The sequence below is a fragment of the Homo sapiens genome, chromosome 17 (assembly GCF_000001405.40).
Source record: "Homo sapiens chromosome 17, GRCh38.p14 Primary Assembly".
NCBI classification, from domain to species: domain Eukaryota; kingdom Metazoa; phylum Chordata; class Mammalia; order Primates; family Hominidae; genus Homo; species Homo sapiens.
The window spans coordinates 31,517,487-31,539,984 of record NC_000017.11 but is presented as its reverse complement, the minus strand read 5'-3'; the positions used below and the strand labels follow the sequence as shown (position 1 = coordinate 31,539,984).

General features: G+C 53.7%; 1 protein-coding gene, 1 non-coding gene and 1 pseudogene across 6 annotated transcripts in view, besides 7 other annotated features; all 3 read right to left on the bottom strand.

The window, feature by feature from the left end:
- Positions 1,526-1,595: an enhancer, noted in NCBI's record as "active region_12015". NCBI's record gives its function as "activates an Ori minimal core promoter by ATAC-STARR-seq in GM12878 lymphoblastoid cells {active_cell/tissue: GM12878}" and the evidence as "EXISTENCE:reporter gene assay evidence [ECO:0000049][PMID:35858748]".
- The window catches only part of RAB11FIP4 (RAB11 family interacting protein 4), a 146,537-nt gene continuing 125,812 nt past the window's right edge, over positions 1,774-22,498 (bottom strand). For 3 of the 5 annotated variants that reach the window (NM_032932.6, NM_001346748.2, NM_001303542.3), the window contains 12 exons: positions 22,108-22,334; positions 18,625-18,819; positions 17,936-18,070; positions 17,590-17,625; positions 16,374-16,473; positions 15,989-16,092; positions 14,755-14,895; positions 12,062-12,143; positions 11,442-11,579; positions 11,207-11,365; positions 9,516-9,659; positions 1,774-8,369 (listed from right to left, as the gene is read on the bottom strand). In NM_032932.6, coding sequence (NP_116321.2) covers positions 8,253-8,369; positions 9,516-9,659; positions 11,207-11,365; positions 11,442-11,579; positions 12,062-12,143; positions 14,755-14,895; positions 15,989-16,092; positions 16,374-16,473; positions 17,590-17,625; positions 17,936-18,070; positions 18,625-18,819; positions 22,108-22,334 — 1,578 coding nt within the window. In that variant the 3' untranslated portion in view covers positions 1,774-8,252. The remainder of the gene's footprint in view (positions 8,370-9,515; positions 9,660-11,206; positions 11,366-11,441; positions 11,580-12,061; positions 12,144-14,754; positions 14,896-15,988; positions 16,093-16,373; positions 16,474-17,589; positions 17,626-17,935; positions 18,071-18,624; positions 18,820-22,107; positions 22,335-22,498) is intronic. The other 2 variants (NM_001346747.2, NM_001346749.2) reach the window with 2 other exon arrangements.
- Positions 4,175-4,474: an enhancer, noted in NCBI's record as "active region_12014". NCBI's record gives its function as "activates an Ori minimal core promoter by ATAC-STARR-seq in GM12878 lymphoblastoid cells {active_cell/tissue: GM12878}" and the evidence as "EXISTENCE:reporter gene assay evidence [ECO:0000049][PMID:35858748]".
- MIR4724 (microRNA 4724) lies at positions 5,014-5,102 on the bottom strand. The gene has a single exon (NR_039877.1). It is a non-coding gene; the product is annotated as a microRNA 4724 (primary transcript).
- Positions 13,745-14,359: an enhancer, noted in NCBI's record as "H3K4me1 hESC enhancer chr17:29852644-29853258 (GRCh37/hg19 assembly coordinates)". NCBI's record gives its function as "activates a minimal SCP1, AML or CMV promoter by ChIP-STARR-seq in primed H9 embryonic stem cells {active_cell/tissue: H9 hESC(primed)}" and the evidence as "EXISTENCE:reporter gene assay evidence [ECO:0000049][PMID:30033119]".
- Positions 13,745-14,594: a biological region, named in NCBI's record as "Sharpr-MPRA regulatory region 11348".
- Positions 14,300-14,594: an enhancer, noted in NCBI's record as "tiled region #11348; HepG2 Activating DNase matched - State 12:CtcfO, and K562 Activating DNase unmatched - State 12:CtcfO". NCBI's record gives its function as "activates a minimal TATA promoter and a strong SV40 promoter by Sharpr-MPRA in HepG2 and K562 cells {active_cell/tissue: HepG2 | K562}" and the evidence as "EXISTENCE:reporter gene assay evidence [ECO:0000049][PMID:27701403]".
- Positions 14,975-15,589: an enhancer, noted in NCBI's record as "H3K27ac-H3K4me1 hESC enhancer chr17:29851414-29852028 (GRCh37/hg19 assembly coordinates)". NCBI's record gives its function as "activates a minimal SCP1, AML or CMV promoter by ChIP-STARR-seq in naive H9 embryonic stem cells {active_cell/tissue: H9 hESC(naive)}" and the evidence as "EXISTENCE:reporter gene assay evidence [ECO:0000049][PMID:30033119]".
- Positions 16,248-16,882: an enhancer, noted in NCBI's record as "H3K4me1 hESC enhancer chr17:29850121-29850755 (GRCh37/hg19 assembly coordinates)". NCBI's record gives its function as "activates a minimal SCP1, AML or CMV promoter by ChIP-STARR-seq in naive H9 embryonic stem cells {active_cell/tissue: H9 hESC(naive)}" and the evidence as "EXISTENCE:reporter gene assay evidence [ECO:0000049][PMID:30033119]".
- Positions 21,256-21,544, bottom strand: RN7SL45P (RNA, 7SL, cytoplasmic 45, pseudogene; annotated as a pseudogene).

Below are 22,498 nucleotides of genomic sequence, written 5' to 3'. Positions count from 1 at the left end.
TCCACTTGCCCCCAGCTCCTGAAGCCCCCCATATCTTCCTCTTGGTAGTGCTCATCACCCTGGAAATGAATTATGTCTCTCCCCTCCCCCAGGAGCGTGGGGACTTCACGGGGCAGAGGCCTTGCCTGTACCAATTCCCAGTGCCTGGCACACACAGTGGTGCTCGGTAGATGATGCTGGCGGGTTGAGTGATTTCTGTGCTCAGATATTATCCACCCATTCATCTGCTTTGGCCTGGGCCCAGCCGATGACCCTAAAGGGCCCTCTAACTGAGGGCCTGGTGAGTCAATGGAATCCAACAATGAAACACCTTTAGCAGGTGCTGTGGCCTCAAGGGGGCACAGGGATGACATCATTTTTAATAGGACTGTAAGGAAATGTTCTGCAAAATGGGTGAATGGGGAACACACCTGTGCAGAGGAGAGGGTACAGCCTGTACACACAGCAGTGCTCGCTCCCACCTCTCTCCAGGATGGTAAACTGAGGCAATTCCAAGGACCTCCTTCAATAGGTGTTATGAGTTGAATTGTGTCCTCCCAAAAGATATGTTGAAGTCCTAAGCCCTGATACCTATGCAAGCTTACTTTGGAAACAGGGTCTTCGCAATGTAAAGACCCTATTTGTAATCAAGTAAAGATGAGGCTCGTTGGACTACTTATCTGAAACTCAAGTTTTACTGGGCATCCTGTATTCTTACTAGCCAAATCTGGCAGCCTAAGTTGGGAAGGAAAGAAGGAATATTAGGAGGAAGGAGGGAACTGGCCAGGTGCGGTGGCTCACGCCTATAATCCCAGCACTTTGGGAGTCCAAGGTGGGTGGATCACTTGAGCTCAAGAGTTCAAGACCAGCCTGGCCAACATGGTGAAACCCCGTCTCTACTAAAAATACAAAAAATAGCCAGGTGTGGTGTTGGGTGCCTGTAATCCCAGCTACTTGGGAGGCTGAGACAGGAGAATTGCTTGAACCCAGGAGGGGGAGGTTGCAGTGAACCGAGATTGTGCGACTGCACTCCAGCCTGGGCAGTAGAGCAAGACTCCATCTTTAAAAAAAAAAAAAAAAAAGAGGAAAGAGGCAATAAAGATCCAAGAGGACACAGCACTCCCAGGATTTGGAGGTGACGTCTCCTGAGCCAGGAGGCTAAGTCCAGTGAGTGAGGAACTGTCTGCCCTCCCTGGAGGACTCATGGCACCAGGGCCTGCACTGGGAGGTGGAGGGCCGGGGCCACCTGTGAAGCCACTTCCATGCCTGGAATCCTGTAATAGAGGAAGGAGCAGACAGAAGGCAGAAATCCAGGGGTCTGGTTGACTCAACTGGGGACCACCTTGGTACTTGATGGTGTGGCAGAGACAAGCACTGGCAGGTCTGAAGCCAGTCCTGAATGGAGGCATTGGGCCGTCACCCTGGGGAGCCACAGCGGCGGACATGGAGGGAGCATGGCACTGGGACCCCACTGGACCCCTAGGAAGACCTCAGTGGGAAAGAACATAGCCACACAAAGGACAAAGTTTCCAAACATCATAGCCCTGTGGCTGGAATGGTGGCATTAAAGAGGCTTCTGGGATCCACGTCTTCTCCCCTAGGGACTGAAGAGTGACACCGCCCCACTCCACCCTGCCCCTGGGGGACAGCACCAGCCACCCTGGGAACCACAAACTTGGTGGGGGGCAGGGGGGTTGCTCTTTTTAAGGGAGACCATCTGTCCCTGTGAGCCCTGGAACCAGGCCTCTTCTGCCCACCCTCCCCCAACCACAGAAACTCATGGTTCAGTCAGGCGAGAAGAGCAAACTGTTTATTTACACCTTGGTCTGTACAGTACAGCTCCCCGGGAGGAGCCTGCCACCAACAGCCTGTTCCTTTTGGGGCAGAAGCAGGTTGGAGGCAAAGAGCTCAGACCCTGGACAGCCTCAGGGCCTCACCCCCACTGTCCCCTCCCTGGGGCCCACAGGGCAGGTCCCACCCCAGCACTAAAGCTAAGCCTGTTTCCAGACAGAGCCTCCTGGGGCAAAAAAGTCAAGTTGAATCCCACAGAGTCAGAGGCCATCTAACAAACCCTTGGGCATGAGGCCACATGTGTAGTTCATTCCACGTAGGCCTCAGAAGACCCAGCCAAGAAAGTGGGAGGAGCTGGAAGGGAGCCCACAGCTGTGAGTCCTTGGCAATGCACCGTCCGCTCCGTGACATCAGTTGGTATTTAATGGCACTCTGGTCTGAGCACCTCAGCAGACAAGGAAGGGCTGGGCAGGTGTTCACAGCAGGCAGGGGCAGCAGCTAGCACCTCTTCCTTCTGCCCAAGTGGGGCCCGCAGCTGTTCTAGACACCAGATGTGGTGGCCTCAAGGCAGGCCTGTGGCCGTGCACCAGGAACCATGGACAGGGCTTCCTCTGGGGGCAGAGACAGTGCACGGAGCGGCTGCGGTCCCATGATATCCCTGCTGGGGCCAATGCCCCAGGTTAAAGAGTGATGCTTTGCCCGACATCACTAACAATGCAGGGAAAGCTCTGTGGGAGAAGCTGCTTTACACAAAGTTGCCCTTTTCTGGAATGCAAGGCTCCTAAATTAGCTGCAGGCTGGAGGAGGGACTAAGTGGGTCCTAGCCCCCCATGCTTAAGACAATAATGAAAGATTCTGTACAAAGTTACCAAGTCTACAGGCTGAGCGAGCCAAGGGTAAGTGGGGCCTGATCCTTGTGGACGAATGTGCCCGGGAGAGCTGGCCTCACCTGGGGGAGGCACGTTGAAAAAGTACACATTTACAGGGCTCGGGAAAGGCCAGGGAGATGAGACGATGTAGAAAAGGAGGCAGTGGGCAATGTGGAAAATCCTGTACAGTGGCGATGGGGAAGAAAAGGCACAAGGACAAAGACCCCAAACCATGCAGATGAAAACAGCCTGTGCAGCACAGCAAAGCGGATGGGCCCCAGCAGGAGGCAGGGTCACCCTGGGGACAACAGCACTTGGATCCTGCAGGAGACATGGCCTGGATGCCATCCCCAGCTGGTAGCTCCGGGGCAGACATCTCTACCTTACAGATGGGGAAAGGAGCAACCTACGAGGTCGGGGCAGGGAGGTCATATGGGAAACCTCGCCTGGTGAGCATGGTGACATTATACTTCCCCAGGGTCTACGCTTTTAGAAACAAATCTTTCTAGAAGGCAGCCTATTTTCTCTGGTGGGTAGCAGAGAATATGGCAGAAGGGCCTCAGAGTTGTCCTGCCATGCAGGTAGGGCAGGCTCCTGGTTCCAGCCTCTCCCGCTTCCTGCTGGCTGCCCCATTCATGTGTGCACCCAGGGCAGGAAGTGAGGACCTGGCAGGTCCCTAGGATCAGCGCTCAAAGTCATCCACTGACGGCATGGCCCTTCTAACTTGAGGCCCCTTGGCGCAGCAGACCTCAGTCTTCCTAGCCAGCAGCGTCACCCTAGAGGGGATTTCCTGGGTCCCAAAGGGAGGGCCAGAGTCTGGGAGAAAGGACTGTGGAGGATACCAGCACTGAGTCCTAAGTGGCCCCTTTCCTCAATCTAGAATCCACAGTAGCCCTTGAGAAAGAGTCGCTGTGGATCTGCTGGGCAACCAAAGTCATTTTCTTGGCATGGTGACCACGCAAAACTTTCCTGGTATGATCACATCGAAAGTTACTTTTTGTTTTTTTAAAAAAATAAAGACAAGAGTTTCACCATGTTGTCCAGGCTGGTCTCGAACTCCTGAGCTCAGGCAATCCACCTGCCTTGGCCTCCCAAAGTGCTGGGATTACAGGTGTGAGCCACCGTGCCCGGCCTAGAGTTAGTTTTTAAGTTTAAATTTGCTAATGCATTAAACCCCACCACACACACAGGACACAGAGGGCTTCATTTCTCCCAGTTTCACCTGGCCCTGCTGGCCCCTGGAGGCTTCTGCTAAGTCCCTCATTGGAACCAAGAACCCGCGCTTCTGTCCCCGCGCCCCCCCCCCCCAACTCCCCTGAACACCAGCACCAGTGGACTAGCACCTGGAGTGTCCGGTGTGTGAGTAGGATGCTGGTTTGGCTAACAGGGAACGAGCTGGGACTCCCTTTATCAACCCAGTCAGGAAACAGACCAGAAGCAAAACCCACAAAGACAGTATGTCCTCCTGCTCAGCTATGCAAATAGGTGGCAGCTGTTTCTGCGGCTGCTTTCAGGGGGACAGCCCCACCTGTCAGTTCCCTGCTGACTCTGTTCTACCTGCTCTTTGAGATGAGCCTGTAGCCAGTATATCCCAACACATGCCACCCACTGATTCCAGGGGCACCAGGCCAAGGTCCTGCCCACCCACTCTGGTCTGCTAACCTCCAGGCTGGTGAGAACAGCTGGATCCACCAGCTCCTGAAGGCATCTGGCCTCCCATCCTGCAGGCCAGGACCATTCAACAACAGGAAAAGGAACCCTCCCAGCAAGAGAGCTCACTGTCATTCAGCCACGGGCTTGACAAGCCCAACAGCCACTTTGACCAGTTTCCTCTACCTCTGGCCAACGACCTTGCAGGACAGGGCAGTCTCAACCTCGGACTGCATATCATCACCTGGGGAGGTCTTTACACATCTCGATGCCTGGACCACACCCCACACCAATTCAATCCGAACCTCTGGGGGTTCAGCCCAGACAGCAGAAGCTTACAAATCTCCCCAGGTGATTCCAATGCACAGCCAAAGCTGAGCCCACTGTTTTAGGCCCTCGTGCAGGTTCTTGAGCTTTTTTTTTTTTTTTTTTAACTTTTGGTAGAGACAAGGTATCACTATGTTGCCCAGGCTGGTTTAGGACTCCTGAGCTCAAGTGATCCGCCTGCCACTGCCTCCCAAGTGCTAGGATTACAGGCGTGAGCCACCATGCCTGGCCTGTTCATGTTTTAATAGGTCAGAAATAAAGTCATGAAAAGGAATTTCTCTGTGACAGTTCGCAAAGAATTCTACCAATTTAAAATAAAATAATCTAGGATAAACTCTGGCCAATTCAAAGCTAAAAGAAAAAAACATTTTTACTAGAAGTTTCTTAAAGCCTCTCAACGCACAGGGACTAGCTGAACCAGAAGGTACTTCATTTTCTAATAGATAATGTACACGAAGCTCACTCCTGGTTCAGTTCATTTTGCGTGGCTTCCAACTGAACGCAAGGGCAGCTCAGGGCCATGTAAAATCTGAGTCTACTACAGAAACCCTCGCCCCACCCCCAAAACACCTCTAAATTTCAGATAAGTTACTGCTAATCCCTACTCGGTAGGGTTGCCAGGTTTAGCAAAAACAATAAAAACAAACAAAAAACCCAAGTAGGACACGCAATTAAATTGGAATTACCTGAGCAGCTCTTTAAAAAATCCCATGCCTGGGCTACACCCACAACAATCAAACCAGAACGTCTGAGGATTCAGTCTAATCATCAGAATTTTTAAAATCTCCCCATTTCAAATATGTCCTGGCCAGGCATGGTGGCTCATGCCTGTAATCCCAGTGCTTTGGCAGGCTGAGGTGGGAGGATCACTTGAGGTCAGCAGCTCGAGTGAGGCAACACAGTGAGACCCTGTCTCTACAAAAAATAAGAAAAATTAGCTGGGCGTGGTGGTGCATGCCTGTAGTCCCAGCTACTCAGGCAGTTAAGGCGGGAGGATCGCTTGAGCCTGGGAGTTCAAGGTTGTGGTGAGCTATGATCATACCACTACACTCCAGCCTGGGCAACAGAGCAAGATCCTATCTCTAAAAATAACATCTGTCCCATGTATTAGATAGAACATATTTATTCTAAAATTATTTTCTATCTGAAATTCAAACTTAACTGGGCATCCTGTCTACTACCTCGCAGCCCCACTACTGAGGGGTAAGGGCAGAAACAAAGATCAAGCTCCTACCACCTAGGCTCTGGGACCTGCCACCAAGGGGTCTGGGATCTGCCAGGGGCTGTGGAGCTGGGACACCTGGGGCATCTGCCCCCTCAAGCTAGCTTTTGAGCCCAGAAGAATATTTTTACAAACATACACCATCTTTAAAAGCCAAGCAACAAGCCAGGTTTTACAAGAAATGTATTCTGGCTGAAGAAAGTAAGGTTGGACTTGAGGTGTGTGTGAGCTGGAATTCAGCCCCCCATTTAAAAGCCAGGCCTGCTCCAGAGGCCCCTCTGGCACTGCAGCAGGTCCCGGGGGCCTTTCAGACGCCGGCTCCCTCCGGAGCCTGTTCCCATGGCGCCCCTTAGAGGGAGGAGCCTGAAGCACGCCCCAGGCTGCCAGCTGCTTCCGCCCACCTTTCCCGTGGCAGAGATTCCTTCCCACGTTGTGACTCAGGCTGTGTAACCCAGGCCTCTGCAGCCTTCTCTGAAATTCCAATGCAGCCAAAGGGCAGATAACATTTTACAGATAAAATACTCAACCCTGGGGTAAGGCCCCCACGCACCAGTACTCCTTCTGACCTAACACCCAGGCCAAAGCTATGTCAGGATCTGTCTTGTTCCTTTCAGCCGTGGCCACTCCTTCCTATTGGCAAATTCTCAAGAGACCCTCTCCTCATGCCTTCTTCCACTGCCTCTTCGCAGAACCCTTGGGGGAGCCCAAGGAGACCCGCGTCCTAAGGGGCTGAGAAACTCCTAGAAGACCGACTGCCTAGCCTAGTCTTCCCAGTGTGGGTGGCTCCAAAGTCCTGGGTCAGACCAGTGCAACCCCATTATGTGCAGCATGAAACTAATCCCCAACAAAAGATTAAAAAGAAGCCACGAGATCCAACAAATGCAAAGGCTGATTGGAATGGAATTGAAGGTTGGTCCTGGCCACAGCCCTGCCTCTGTCAAGCAGGTGTCACACCCAAGTCCCCAGATCCCCTCTCCTCACCCTCACTGCCCTCTCTTTCTGCAACTCCCCCTCCACCGCCCTTCCCAACATGCCCAAACCTTCCTTCTCATACTATAAGATGTGCTGAAGAAAGCAAGAAACTGCAGGGGGAAGAATAAGACCACACACGTTTATATATATTTGGATTAAGAAAATGAATCACAAGCCATATAAAATTGAGATAAATTGGAAAACTCTAAGGTAAGTACCATGTCTATTCCCAGCTGCCTAGAACAAAGATCCATTAAAAATCCATGGTGTGAATTTCCACCATGGGTCAGAAGGATGGAAGACTAAGGTTTTCCTGCAACTTTCCCAACCGCCTCCCACCAGTGCAGCGAGTGCTCCCCTGGCTGAGAATCAAATACAGGTGTGTTTCTAAACGCTGGAACGAAGCAGTCTTGCTGCCACACGAGTGGAGCCCGGAGCTAGGATTCTGAAATCCAAACCCAGGCCTGCCATCACCAGGCTGCGTGGAGAATGAAGACAGGGAGCCAGGCAGACGGTTTCTCCGTGCATCCATCTTAAGATGCAGCCATGGGAAGGAAACTGACTGGGATGGGAGTTGTGTTCCTCCCCAAAACTCATTTCTTTGGTTGCCCGATGTCAACTCCTGCCTTAGACACCCATCCCAAACCCTCCTTCTCCTTCATTTTTATCCCTTCATGTTACAATGACGCAGTGAATGCTGCTTCATTGTCTTAAAACTGAAACAGAAACGGGGAGGTAGGTAGCATGGATGGGGGAGTGCACGAACTCTATAGGTACAGGATGAGGATGCCCCGCACTAGCTGCTATGAAACCTGAGTCCTCTGTTCACTCTGCACACACATCACAGAGGGCTGCTGGCCGGTGGCCAAGGCATTTGGTGAGGGCCCCATCTCATGGACCCTCCAGATGCCCCTTCATCCTCTCTGAGCTTGAACACTGGGGCTTGAAAGGTGGCCAAAGAGCTGGCGAGGACACAAATATGGGGCATTCAAACTCCTAGGAAAGATCACAATTTTGCTCCCACTCCCAAGGGGACTAGGAGTGGGGTGAAAGAGCCCATCGTACTAGAGCGAATGTGAATCCTTATCCCCAGAGGTAGAATCATTTTACCCAGTACCGGAAACACGAGCTTCCAGTTCTTGTTTTTACAGTAACTCCTGATAGCAGACCTTGCCTCCTCCCACTTCCAGTACCCTCTGCCCCTTGCAAAGGGGCCACAAAGTGCATGCACGGCTAACCGTGTGGATGCTGCCCACAGCCACGGCCACTCACCCCTCGCTCGTGTGCACAGCCTCCCCACATATACACGGGTACACGTAACGCATGGTGGCCAGAGAGACATTTACAGTGTGAGTGTGAGGCCCGGCTTAGGCCTGCATCCTTGGGCAGGGTCTGCCCTTGGTCCCAGGGTCCTAAGGCTGCTCTGCAGCCAGCCCCGTGCCTTAGTGTTTGATCTCGAGGATGGAGGGATTGTGGTCCAGGATGGCGAGGATAATCTTGTCCATGTACTGCCTCAGCCGGAAGTTGATCTCCTCCTGCTCCTTCAGGGCTTCCATTAGCTGAAGGAAATGGGAAAGACGGGTCAGTGGCTGGGCCTGGGATAGGGTGCAGGCAGAGTCCAGACTCCCAGGCTTGTCGCAGGCCAGTGCCTGACAATAGAGGGCATCAGGAGATCCTGGGCAAGGTGGGCCCCAGGACAGCCTCAGCATTTGGATGCCAGGACCAGAGTCGAAGTGGCTCAGCCCCTAGTATTACCTATGCAGGTGCCCAGGCCCCACCCCCAGAGATTCCAATGTGATCAGTTTGTAGAGGGGGCCCAGGTGTGGGTAATTTTTTGCAAAAGTAGAAAACACTAGCCAAAGTCATTTAAAATCAAGACTGACAAAGTCCCAGGGCCGCTAAGACTCCAAAGGGGAGCTGTCTCCTGCCTGGAACACCTCTCCCCACCCCCAGCCCCACACTGCTCTTCTCCAGGGCAGTGTTCTTTCGGACATTGCTGACATGCTGCCTCTGCCCAGGGGTTGGGGCCCAGCTCACCTGGGAGCTCCTTGAGGACAGAGGTCAGCTCTTCACCCCGTGTCCCAGGCAGAGGGTGAGGCTCAGTGACAGAGTGTCTTGTAATTCATGTTACAATGCAGCCGGGGCATTTTGGAGGCCTGATCTTTCATAAGCATACTCTGGTGTGGCAGGAAGGGTAGGCTTTGGCTTTGGAGAGAGCTGGGTCCCTCTCCCTCCCTAGCTGGGTGGTCCTGGGTTCCACCTTCCCAGCTTGGAATGTGGAGCTGTTCCTAAAGCCTCAGAGTCATCAGGAGATTAAGTGAAAACACACCGCAGAAGCAGGTGCTGGGGAAATGCTAATGTCCTCCCTCTCTGGACTGGGAAGAGCGGGAGTGATAGCCTAACCCAGAGTCACAGCTTGATCCACTCAGCTGGCTATGTTGGCATTTTTCTGGCCGACCTAAGACTCACACTCCACTCTGAACCAAACCCGCACTCCTTCCAGCACAGGCGGAACTCAGAGCTGACTTAACTTCTCCAGCAGCCCCCTCCCCTGCTCACAGCCTTGCCCTGTCATGTGGGGTAGCTGTAGATGGGACTCTCTGCCAGGCCCTGGTCTGGTTTTCTCACTCTGGGCAGGTGGGGGCCGGGAGAAGGAATCACAGAGGGCGGCCAGGCCCCAAAGCAAGAGCCGGTGGTGTGGTTACCTCATCGCGCGAGGCGGTGTCTATCTCCGCAGCCAGAGACTGGGCTTTAGTCTGGGCAGCAAAGAGGTTTTTTGCTTCGTAGAGGCTGAGGCTCAAAATCTGCCCATTCAAGTCGTCGTTCTGATCCCGCAGCTTATAATTCTCCTACAGAGAGAAGGACGAAGGCGACATCAACCCCAAGAGGCATCCACAGCCCACTGGAACCCACTTCTCCACATCCACCGTCCCCGACCTGCCGCCAGCGCCATTCCCACAGGTGTGTGTCACGGCTGGTTCAAGGGGCCATAGATGTTGCAGCCTTTGCCAAGCGCTGGGGGCAAGGAGGGCTGGGTCCTGGTCCAGGGGACTGGCATCCTGGGAGTGCACAGGGTTTGTGGAGGAGTTACAGCCCTGCTCAGCGCAGCCAAGGCTCCTGGCCATCCCTTCCTCCCTAGGCCCTGCATAGGGACATCACCCACCCAGCAGCCCAGTGAAGGAAGTGATGCTCTGGGCTCTCTGGGCAGGCTGGCCAGCTCATTTCCTTGGCTCCCCCAGCAGCCACGTTCCGAATCCTGCTTGGTTGGAGTTGACCCAGGCGGACCCGCCCAGATCCCATGCACCGGTCTCACACTCCAGCTTTTGCCTAAAGAGCCCTAATGCTCACACCTGGGACCCTGGGCACCCCACCCCTAGACTAGGAGAAGGGTTGGGGTTTTAGGATTTCTGTGAGAGCACAGCCACCAGCACCTTTGTCCCCAGTGGAACAAACTCAGAAGGATAATTTATGCTGCAGGCTCTTCCACCTGCAGGGTCAGGCAGAGCTGACACTTCACCCAGCACCACCTGGCCACTGCCTCCTCCTGATCCACTCCCCCACCCAAAGGTCTCTAGCTAAGGCAGCGCTCCTTGAAATGTAATCTTCTGGCTAGGCACAGTGGCTCATTCCTGTAATCCCAACACTTTCAAAGACTAAGGGTGGGAGGATCCCTTGAGCCCAGGAGTTCAAGCCTGGGCAATATAGGGAGACCCCATCTCTGGAAATAAATACATAAATAAGTAAATTAGCCAGGTGTGGTGGTGCTCTCCTGTAGTCCTAACTGCTCGAGAGGCTGAGGTAGGAGAATTGCTTGAGCCCAGGAATTTGAGGCCATAGTGACTGTGATCACACCACTGCCCTCCACCCTGGGCAACACAGTGAGACCCTGCCTCAAAAAACAAAAACAACATTAGCTGGGCATGGTGGTGTGTGCCTGTAGTCCTAGTTACTAGGGAGACTGAGGCAGAAGGATCACCTGAGCCCAGGAATTCAAGGCTGCAGTGAGCTATGGAGTGCCAAAGCACTCCAGCCTGGGTATCAGAGCAAGACCCTGTCTCTTGGGAAAAAAAAAAAAAAAAAGGAACCTTGGGTGAGGGTCTACTTCTGGGAGAACCCAATGCCTCCAGGCACTATACTGCAGCTGGGTATGGTCTCATCCTCCACCCTGAGCACCAAGGCAGGGTCTATTTCCTTACATAGACGTAAGGGAGAGATCTTTGGATCGATTTTCCTGAGCTGTGAAATGGGGCAGTCAGCCCTGGCAAACAGGTTGCTGAGAAGCAGACAGGCAGTGCTGCTACAGCTCTGGGCTCCCCTACCACAGATCCTGCACAGGAAACCCACGTGGTGGGCCCGGCCACCCTGCCCCACTGGACACAGAGACTGCTAGACCCACCTGCTTGAGCCGCTTGACCTCGTGCTCGAGCTCCACCTCGCGGGCCCTGGCATTGAACTCGCCTAGGCCAGAGGAGGCACTGCGGCCCCTGCCTGGCCGCTCGCAGTCCAGCTTGTACATCTGCAGGTGCTCCAGCTCCTTCCGCAAGTCCTCGATGAGCTGCGAGGGAGAGAAGCAGGTTGGCAGGAGCAGGGATGCTGGAAGGAGCCCTGGTGCCTGCTGGCCTGGGACCTACCTCCTGCGTCGCCTCCCGCTCCTTCTGGAACTCAAGGCGGTTCTGTCGCAGCTTGTCCATCATGCGCTTGTACAGGTCCATCTCATCTTTGAGCCGCAGGCTGGTGTCCTCCAGACGGTCAGACATGCGCTGCCGCTCCTGGAGCAGGGAGACCCGATCAGGGGAGGAGAGTTCCCAGAGAGGGGCTCACTATGTCCAGGGGTGTCCCTGGGGTCTGGTCAGCCATCTTCACGAGGCAGATGCACAGTGAAACCAGCTCCCTTAGACGGAGCCCTGAGTCTTGGCTTACAGAAACGGCCAGAGCCCCGATGATTCTAGAAATACAACTAAAAACCTCAGGCCTCTGAAGTCCTTCAACGATGCTAGATGCAACCTGAATTGAAGGTGTTAGCCCAAATAGAAGCTAACCTCTTTCTAAAACTAATTTTTCTCCATTGTATAAAGTAATAAATACATTCGCTGTAGAAAACTTGGAAAATCAGAAATACAGAAACACAAGTTGTTATTCACTTTTTTTGCATTTCTTAGGGGGTGCGGCATTTGTTTAGAATTTCAGAAGCAATAAACTAAAGGCTCCCGATGGCCAGCCCTGCCCCTCCAAGCCTGGATCTGCTGCTCACCTCATCCAGTTTCTCTGTTTGAGACTTGAGCCGAGTCACTGTTGTTCTAAGCTCTGTATTTTCTTCCTCCAACTGCTGCACCCTGGCGAAAGGAGAAAGACAAATCTCAGAAACCTGGAATGTAGACTATCTGATAAGCGCCTGCCAGTCTGCAGTGATTCTCTGCTTCCTCCCAGAGGAAAGATACCAGAAACCAACTGAGAGAAAGAATATGATTATTATGTCAAAGACAATTTAGCCGTGAGCTTCCTATCAGCCAAAGCAAAATAGTAAGGACTATTTGTAAGCAAAATAGTAAATTATCATTCTTATTTTCTTTCTTTTTTTTTTGAGACAGAGTCCTGCTCTGTTGCCCAGGCTGGAGTGAGGTGGCACAATCTCAGCTCTGCAACCTCTAACTCCTTCAGCAATTCTCGTGCCTCAGCCTCCTGAATAGCTGGGATTAGAGGCATGCACCACCACGCCTAGCTAATTTGTGTATTTTTAGTAGAGACGGGTTTTGCCATGTTGGCCAGGCTGGTCTCAAAAACTCCTGGCCTCATGTGATCCGCCCACCTTGGCCTCCCAAAGTGTTGGGATTACAAGAGTGAGCCACCACACGTGGCCTTTATTTTTCCAATAAGTGGAAACATTCATTAGAGAGTAGGAACGCAGATTCTTCTTGTATGCATCCTTCAGATCCTCAGACAACACGGGGATGTCTTTCTGCTAGATGGAGAAACAGTCTTCTTGTGGCTTCTGTGACTGGGCCCTCCTGTTAGACTCTGTAACTTGAAGGCAATGATCATATTGGCTTTTCATTCTCCGCCAACAGCATCTCATCCAGGGCTCTTCTCTGAGCGCTCACTGCACCTCCCTCTGATGACCACAGGCATGGGCTCTGACAGTAATAATCCTCTGTGTTAGCGTTCACACAGGAATTCCACAAAGGGAATCCTAAAGGGATTCCACAAGAAGACAGAGCCTGGGTGTTCAGGTCAGTTTTTTGTTTGTTTGTCTGTTTTGAGACGGAGTCTCAGTGGCGTGACCTCAGCTCACTGCAACCTCTGCCTCCCGGGTTCAAGCGATTCTCCTGCCTCAGCCTCCCGAGCAGCTGGGACTACAGGCGCGCACCACCACGCCTGGCTAATTTTTGTATTTTTAGTAGAGATGGGGTTTCACCATGTTGGCCAGGATGGTCTCCATCTCCTGACCTCGTGATCCACCTGCCTCGGCCTCCGAAAGTGCTGGGATTATAGGCGTGAGCCACTGTGCCCGGCCTCAGGTCAGTTTTAAATGGTCTGAGAATAGGTGCAGGTGAGTTGGGCCGTCGGTGGCAGCAGAACTGAACAGGGTCACTTCTGGCAGTGACTCCTGCAGAGCATCCCGTTCTCAACCCACCACCTCCCCATCATGTCCTCTTTCCTGGAAGGATGGCTTCTGGGCCTCCACTGCCCTCTGGGCTCCAGAGAGGAATTCAGCCCCACCACCAGCAGGTGGCCCCAAGCGGGTGGAAGTGGTAGGGAACCAAGCATACGGCAGGACTCTGGGAACACCACTCGGATATTTTACACGAATGGCGCCCCCGGAGCTGTGTGACGGGCACACGTTAGGAGACAGTTCCCGAGGGCTGGCTTTCTGCACTTTGTCCTGTGGCCCAGGTTCACACTGTCTTTTACCACCTCCCGTGTCCCAGCCACCTCTCTTGGGCCAGCTGCCGAGGCGGGCTGAGCGAGAGCAGTCACCCTTAACTAGGCACCAGCCTCCAGAAACAGATGCAAAACAGCAGCTTCTAGAATAGAGTCAAAATGTAAAATGAACCCCTGGTGGGTAACTTAGCAAAGCAGGTCTCAGACACCGGGGAGTTGGGAAGTCTCCTCACCAAACTGCACAGGGGCAGGGACACGGGGGCAGGGAGGTACCTGCCTGAGAGCCCAACTCCCAGTCATTTGCTCAGCAGCCCACCAGCCGCCAGGTGGGGCTCGGCAACTCTGGGAAGCCTCAGCATGGAGACTGGGGCCTCAGGGGGCCTGAGGAGTGCCAGGGCAGCTGTCCTCTCTGCCAGAAGCCCAGGCGGCCTCCTCGGCCTCGGTCAAGGGCCGCAAAGGGGCTTCATCACAGAGGCATCATCATAGCCCTCACCCGTGGGCAGGGTCTGGACTTACATCGGCTCACCCACCCACACAGCCGCTCTGTGGGGCACACAGGGAGGTGACCCAGTACGTCCAAGGCCATGGAGCTAATGGGAGACCAACTCAGATCCCTGGCCCGGGGCTGCTCCTTGTCCCGCCTGCGTCACGTTCCAATGACGAAGCCACAGGTACACGCAAGGCACAGGAGCCGGGTTTTCCATTTACCTTGGCCCTGGGGCTCTGGCTCAGTCCACCAGGGGTCAGGGGAGAACCTGACAGCAGGGGGCGCTCCAGGCCTGGATGTGAGACCCAGCCCAGGCCCTTTTCTCTGACAGACATTTGTGTGGTTTGCATTACCAAATGTGAGCCACGCTCCTGGGAACATTCCTTAGCGAACTTCCTGAAGAGCATGCCTCTGTGTTTCTCGTGGTATTAAAGTGGAACTGTTACTACTGGAAAGTCTCAAGAGGCTGCCCCTCAGCCTCACATTCCCATCTATAAAATGGGGATAGCGCCTATCCCACAGGGCTGCCCCAGGACAGGGGGTCCCTCTGAGGGAGGGGGCTCGGTGGAGGGGCCCACCTGGCATTGAGCAGCTCCACCTCGGTAGCCTTCTCCCTCTCCAGCTTGCCGTAGGCCTCGCGGTGGCGCCGCGCCTCCTCCTCCAGAGCCTGCTCGGCCGTGGTCTCCTGATCCTTCACCATCTCCTCCAGCTCATGCACCCTGAGGACAGCGCAATGGGCAAGCTCTTGGGGCCTGCACCATTTCACCCCAACCCAGGCTGTGGCACGGGGGACCCTGGGCCCCGAGACCCTGAGTCACTGGCATGTCCACTGAGGGCGTGTGGGCCAGTAGCTTTCAGAGAGATGAACGGGGACACCGCACATATAGAGGGGGTGTCGGTCACACATGCCATGGAGGGGCAGGCCTGGCAGTCAGAAGGTGGGGCGCTCAGGGCAGCACAGGGAGGGACCGCCCCCACCAGTCCCTGCAGCCACACCTGGCCGGAACCACCTCAGGCCTCACCTCTTCTTTTTGTGCTGTTCCTTCCCGGCCACCCCTCTGATTAATAATTCAGCTTATTGGGCACCTTGACTCCCAAAATAGGCACATCCTGGCTGGTGGCCTGAAGTCTGCCCCAGACCTGGGACAGGGCCAGGGGCACGTAGATGTGAGCACCCCAGTGACAGCCTGGTTGGTATTTCGGTCTGGGATACGTCTCACTGGCAACAGCCCCTCCACCAGGCTGACCTTCTGGGGTGTACAAAAGGGCCCATCTTTGGGCCCTGTGACAAGTTGGAGGACCGGACCCCTGGCCAGGGTATGTCCCCCAAGGGTCATGCCATCTGGTGAGGACAACTAAACCCTGAATCCACCACTGCAGACAGCATCAGGAACGGCAGGCTCAGGGGACCTCCATCAGCAGCAGTGCTGGACCCTTCCCACCGCCCAGCTCACACTGGCCTGTCCCCTGCAGAGCTTGTCCCTAGGAAGGGACGTCAGGCTCCTGTCACTGTATGAGTGAGACACAGTGGATCCCCACTCCCATCTTGGACCAGCCCTGTGGCTTCAGACCTCAGGGGGTAGAATCCATTGGGCCTAGAGCCAAGGTCAAGCTCCAACCTGTCTCCCTGTCCCTAAGGTCCTGTCCTGGGCACCACATGTGGGCAGGGCCATGTGACAAGAGGCTGATGCGTCACAGACCCTCAGAGCTGCAAAGGCATGAGGCTGCCTCCTCCTGGAGGTCTTAGCAAGATGGACCCCCCTTTGTTCCCCAGCGTCACGGCCGAGCCCCCAGCGCCGCTGCCTGCTTGACCTGTGCACCAGCTGTGTGTTCTCTTGCTTCAGCTTGCTCTTCAGGTCCCCATTGGTCAGGCTGTCATTCTCCAGCTCTGTCACCTTCTTTTCCAGGAAGCTTACCTGCAGCAGGGGGCCGGGGTGGGGTGGAGAAGACCTCTGAGGCCACAGAACCGAGAACCTCGACGCCATGAGGTTCATGAGCAGGACCTCCAAACCACTGTGTATCTGAGAACGGTCATGTGTGGGGTGGGGGAGTGGGGAACACGTGACCAGGGCCACCTGCCCCCAATTCCTAGGCAGGTACAGGGTCTCCCAAGTCCCCAGACAGTAGCCTGAGTGCACCCCATCTCCCCTGGGAGCAGGCATGCATTCAGTCCCTTCTCCAGCCACCCAAGGCCCACCTTCTCTGTGATGTCATTGTCGCAAGAGTCAATGCTGTCCCGGAACAGGTCTTCGGTGCTGCCATTGCTGCTGCTGAAGTTGCTGCTGTGCATGAGCTGCCTGCAGGGGTGGGAGGAGGGTGTCTGGCTGCAGGGGCCTTCCAGAGACAGGGGCCTACTCACACTACTGGCTAGGCGAGCATCCAGTACCCCAGGGGGTCTGCCCCTTTAAGGAGGCTGCCCTCACTCAGCCTGAGAGGAAGAATGTTGCCAAACTCAGCGGATCACCCCGCCCAGAGGATGGCAAATGGGCTGTACAGACCCCCGGGGTCCCCTGGCAGACACAGCCAATGACGCACAGCTTCTCCTGCGGCCTCAGAACCCTCTTCACGCCAGCATGCTGGCCTGCAGCTACCCAGTGACCTCAGCTGGCACGTGAGCCCCCTCCTCTTCCAGTGGGGAAGCCCCCAAGGAGGTAGCCCAGCTCCATGGCCCTGGAAGAGGGTCTGGGCCTCCTGAGGCTTGAGCCTCTCCACCAAGCTGGCTCCTGCTACGTCTCTGGGAACTCTGGGGGATGGCAAAGGCAGAGAATTCTCCAGGCCTTGCAGAGCAGTGAGCTGGGGTGGGACTGGGCCTGCTGAGCTAACCCGTGCCTGAGGCAAAATCCAGCTGCCACCCCCAGTGACATCCCCTTCCAGCTCCCTGATAGGCAGCAGCCAGGGTCTCTGCCAAGAGGCCAACCCACCTAGCTCCTGGGCCCTTGCTGCCAGCTCCCAGAGCCCTGAGTGTGGACCTGGGGCCACACTGAACTGCCGCAGGACTTAATCGGAGCAAAGTGACCAGCCCCAATGGCGCACACTCATGCCCAGATCCCCGCCTGCAGGAAACCCGGGGTCTCTTTATTGAGTATGGCTGCCAGCTCCAAGAGGCAGGAAGGGCACTGAACGCTGTGGGGTGCTCTGTCTCTCTCAGGGCATCCCTGGCATGCCTGCCTGAAGTCAAGGTGACCTAGGATTTGAAGAAGGGACAAGGGGTGGGGAGAGAGCAGGGAGGAGCTGGCCCCTCTTTTTCAGAAGTGACGCTGCCCTGGCTGCACTGCCCTGGGATGGCCTCGTTCCCCTCTGCTCACTCAGCCACATGCGGGCACCAGCTGAGTCCGGGCTGCTGGCAGGGAGCCCCGGCCAGTGGGCAGCATGGGGACAGCACTCAATTTGCCCTCCCTCGAGGCGGGCCTTACCGTCCAAAGGCCGTGCTGGAGATCTTTCGGTTGGGGCTAGAGAGAGAAAGGAAACAGTCATTGAACAGAGGGGTTCTAGTCCACTCCCTTACTCTGTCCTAGCTGTAAGACACCACAGTGCAGGACAAGGCTCTTCCCTCCCACTGAAAGGAATTCACTAGTCAGCTTGGTCCTGAGAAGAAACAGCCTGATTTCCTGTGGCAGAAAAAGCCCCTGGATCAACCCTCCTCTGAGAGCTCTCACCTGCCCAGACAGCAGGGGTCGCCTCGCCATGCCCGTAGCTTCTCCCTCCAGGCCCTGCCCTGGCCCCCCGGCCTCTCACCCCCCAGCTGGGCCTGGGCCTCACCTGTTGGCCTTCAGGTTTTTCAGTCGGGCTTCCAAGTCATTGAGCAGGTTGATTTTCTTGCAGCATTGAGAGCAGTAAACATCTAGCAATTCGCTGTTGTACACGTGCCGCATTTTCCTAGGCGTCTGCCCCGCACTGATTCATGAGGGAAAGGAATCACCACCTTAACTGCTGTCCAGTCTGGTGCCCTACACCACCCTGCTGAGCTGACTTTACTTGAGTCCCCAGTACCTTTGAACCTTGTTACGGGGGAGGGGCAGGGAGTGGAAATATAGCAACAGATCATCCCTTCTCCAACACGCTCAAAGAGAAGCCAGTGAGGCATACCCATTTAACAGCTAAGGCAAACTGCGAGCTCATTTCAGAGAAAGTGGTGACTCAGGTGGGTGAGAAGGGATCACAGGGGTCACTTGGAAGGATGCTTCAACACTGAGGTTCTAGGATACAAGATGACACAGAGCCCCGTGGCCCCCAGTGTGCAGCCTCCTAGGTCAGTTAATTCAGGAGGAACTCCTGACCCCTAATCAGGGTGCGAAGGTAGCAACCCCAAGCCCCAGGAGCAGAACTCAAGTAGCTGAGGACAAAGGAAAAGGGCCAGCTCAGGACTCGCACCCCCCCACCCCCTAGGATGTGCTTAAATTGCTTCTGCAACTTTTGACCCCAAATGACATCCCAGACCAAGGGGCCACCTGGAAGACACCGAAGACCCCAGGTCCGAGTAGACGTTGGTCCTGGTCTCATCATCGGGGCAAGGGCTGCTGGGGGCACAGTCCACATCGTCACCCTCCCCATAGTCTTCAAACTGCTCCTCATTGCTGATGAGCGAGGTGGTGGAGTGTGTAGAAAGGTCTGAGGTCGTCATGGATGGAGTGTGGACCAGGGACCTGAGGGTCCGAGAGCACCCAAGTCAGAGGAGGACTCATGGGTCCCCAGCCACAGCCCGTGGTGGGGAAACTGACAGGCATTTCCCTTTAATTGGCACTACCGATTAAGTTTGTAGCTCTTGACCTGGTAAGTACATTTCAGGGACCCTATCTAAAGGGAAACATCTCACCACAGAAACCATTTCTACAGTTCAAACCAATTCTACCCATGCTACTCCACAGTAGCAAAACACTGCTTACAACCTAATTGTCTAGCTACAGCTAGATCAAATTATAATTATTAAATTATAATGTTAGTAAATTATTAAATTGTGGAATATCAAATAGTTGTTGAAAGGTTTGTTAAAACATTTGTAGTAGTGGCAGGCGCGGTGGCTCACGCCTGTAACCCCAGCACTTTGGGAGGCCGAGGCGGGCGGATCAGAGGTCAGGAGATCGAGACCATCCTGGCTAACATGGTGAAACCCCAACTCTACTAGAAATACAAAAAATTAGCCGGGCGTGGTGGCGAGCACCTGTAGTCGCAGCTACTCAGGAGGCTGAGGGAGGAGAATGGCGTGAACCCGGGAGGTGGAGCTTGCAGTGAGCCGAGATTGTGCCACTGCACTCCAGCCTGGGCGACAGAGGGAGACTCCGTCTCAAAAAAAACAAAAACAAAAAAACAAACAAAAAAACATTCGGAGTAGCTGCTCTGCTTCTGTAGTAGCCATTGTTTTATTATTTCCTTAATAAACTTGCTTTCACTTTAAGGAGAGGAAAAAAAAACATTCGGAGTAATACAGAAAATGAATATAAATGGATCTAAAATTTTAGATACTGTAAGACTGAGTATGGTCATCCCTTGGCATCCAAGAGAGATTTGTTCCAGGACCCCCTGTGGACACCAAAATCTGAGGATGCTCAAGTCCCAGATATGAAATGGCATAGTATTCACATACAACCTATGCATATCCTCCTGTATACTCGATCGTCTCTAGATTACTTATCATACCTAATGCAATGTAAATGCTATGTAAATAGTTGTTATACTGTGTTATTTTTTAAGTTTGTCTTTTTTTTTTTTTTTTTTTTGGAGACAGAGTCTTGCTTTGTCGCCTGGCTGGAGTGCATTGGTGCAACCTCTGCCTTCCAGGTTCTAGTGATTCACCTGCCACAGCCTCCTGAGTAGCTGCGAGTAGCCTCCTGCCACCATGCACAGCTAATTTTGTATTTTTAGTAGAGATGGGGTTTTTGCCATGTTGGCCAGGCTGGTCTCAAACTCCTGGCCTCAGGTGATCTGCCCGCCTCAGCCTCCCAAACTGCTGGGATTACAAGGCTGCTCCCAGAGAGCAGCACGAGCAGCACGGCCCCTCTTCTCCATCCACAGACCCAAAGGGCCCCACCAAGAACATCAGGACTCTGAGAATCACTTGAGTTTGAGAAACCCTGCATTGAGATATACTAGGTTGAACCACATGAAATTACTTTTTTGAAGATGGAAATGATTAAAAGTTGTCAATTTCATGTGGTTCAACCAACATGGGAACCCCTCTCTTCCCTCTCCAAATCCCTGCAGCAGTCGTAACCATCACCTTCTGGTAAGGGGCTGCCACTTGCAACCCCCTCGGCTTCCTCAGCCACAATGGTGGCAGCTTCCCACCACCCCACAGCACTGTATCCCTCGAGAGACTTGGTGAGGGCTGAGATGGAAGGGACTCCTTTCTGCCAACACCAAAGTTAAAGGTGAAACTGCTTCACTGGGAAGTCACTTAGGTCTTAATACTGTTTTTAAATAACATTTCTGATTATGGGAGTACATGCTCAATATAGAAAATATAGCAGAGTAGATGGGAAGTAATTAAAATGATCAACTGGCCAGGTGCGGTGGCTCACACCTGTAATCCCAGCACTTTGGGAGGCCGAGGCAGGTGGATCACGAGGTCAGGAGATCAAGACCATCCTGGCCAACATGGTGAAACCCCATCTCTACTAAAAATACAAAAAATTAGCCAGGCGTGGTGGTGGGCACCTATAGTCCCAGCTACTTGGGAGGCTGAGGCAGGAGAATGGCATGAACCCGGGAGGTGGAGGTTGCAGTGAGCTGAGATTGCACCACTGCACTCCAGCCTGGGCGACAGAGCGAGACTCCGTCTCAAAAAAAAAAAAAAAAAAAAAAAAAGACAAAACTTAGCTGGACATGGTGGCACGCGCCTGTAGTCCCAGCTACTCGGGAGGCTGAGGCAGGAGAATCGCTTGAACCCGGGAGGCGGAGGCTGCAGTGAGGTGAGATCATGCCACTGCACTCCAGCCTGGTGACAGAGTGAGAGTCTGTCTCAACAACAACAACAACAAAAAAAATCATCCCACCATACAGAAATAACTGCTTAATTTTCCAGATTAATTTTTTTCTAGGCATTTCCTAACACATATGTCTGTGTGTTGTTTTTTGGTTTTTTTAGAGATGGGGTCTTGCTATGTTGCCCAGGCTGGAGTGCAGTGGCTATTCACAGGTGTGATCCTACTACTGATCAACACTCGAGTTTTGACCTGCTCTGTTTCTGACCTGGGCCAGTTCATCCCTCCTTAGGCAACCTGGTGGTGACCCATTCCCGGGAGGTCACCATACTGATGCTGAACTTAGTGCAGACATCCGATCGGCATAGTGCACTAGAGCCCAGAAGTCCTGGGCTTAAGTGATCCTCCTGCCTCAGCCTCCCAAGTATCTGGGACTACAGGCACATGCCACTTGCCTGGCATATGTTTGTGTTTTTAACAAAGCTGATCTCATGGACATCTTTGTAACCTGCCCTTTTTTTTTTTTTTTTTTTTTGAGACAGGGTCTTGATCTGTTGCCAGGCTGGAGTGCAGTGATGTGATCACAGCTCACTGTAACCTTAAACTCCTGGGCTCAAGCGATCCTCCTGCCTCAGCCTCCCAAAGTCCTGGGGTTATAGGTGTGAGCCACCATGCCTGGCCACAACCTGCTTTTTAAAACTAATTGAGATCATATATCTCATATTATTAACTAGTCATTTAAAACTCCCTTTGCCTGCACAGCTAGGACTGAAAATAAAGTAAAATTAAATTTAAAAACTTGACTTTGCACAGCTGCCTAAAATTCCAAAACTATCCCTTACTGTTAAGCATTTAGTCTGCTTAGAATCTTGTGCTATTCAGAATACCCATGACACTAATGCCTCTGATACAAATTTTGAGCATGTTTCAAATTTACTTCCTGGAGACACTTTCCAAGAACCACATTTCTGGGCTGAGAGGGCAAATATGGAGCTTCAGGTGGTTTTAACTCACTTGTCTTCTGGCAGAAACAGGCCCCCAAGTCCCCCGTCCTTCTCGGCAGGACTCCCGACAGACCCCTCCAGGCTCTGAGTGCTCTCCATGGGGCTGTCTGTGTACAACTCCTGGGGGCCCTCAGGTGGCGCCAGCGTCATAGCCTCCTCCTCGTCCTCGGGAAAAAAGCCGGGTTCCCTGGGGATGAGCTCGCCATCAGCAAAGGTGGGGCCTGTGACCTCGCTGCCCTGGGAAAGAGAGAGCAGAGACAAGATAAGTGAGGCCAGCTTCCCAGGGCTCAGTGTTCCAATCAGACCACAAGGGCATCAGCCAGGCCAAAACAGCAGGGATTGGGTACAGGAGGCCCAGATCCCGAACCCTAAGCGTGGGAACACCTGGCAGGTGATTAGTC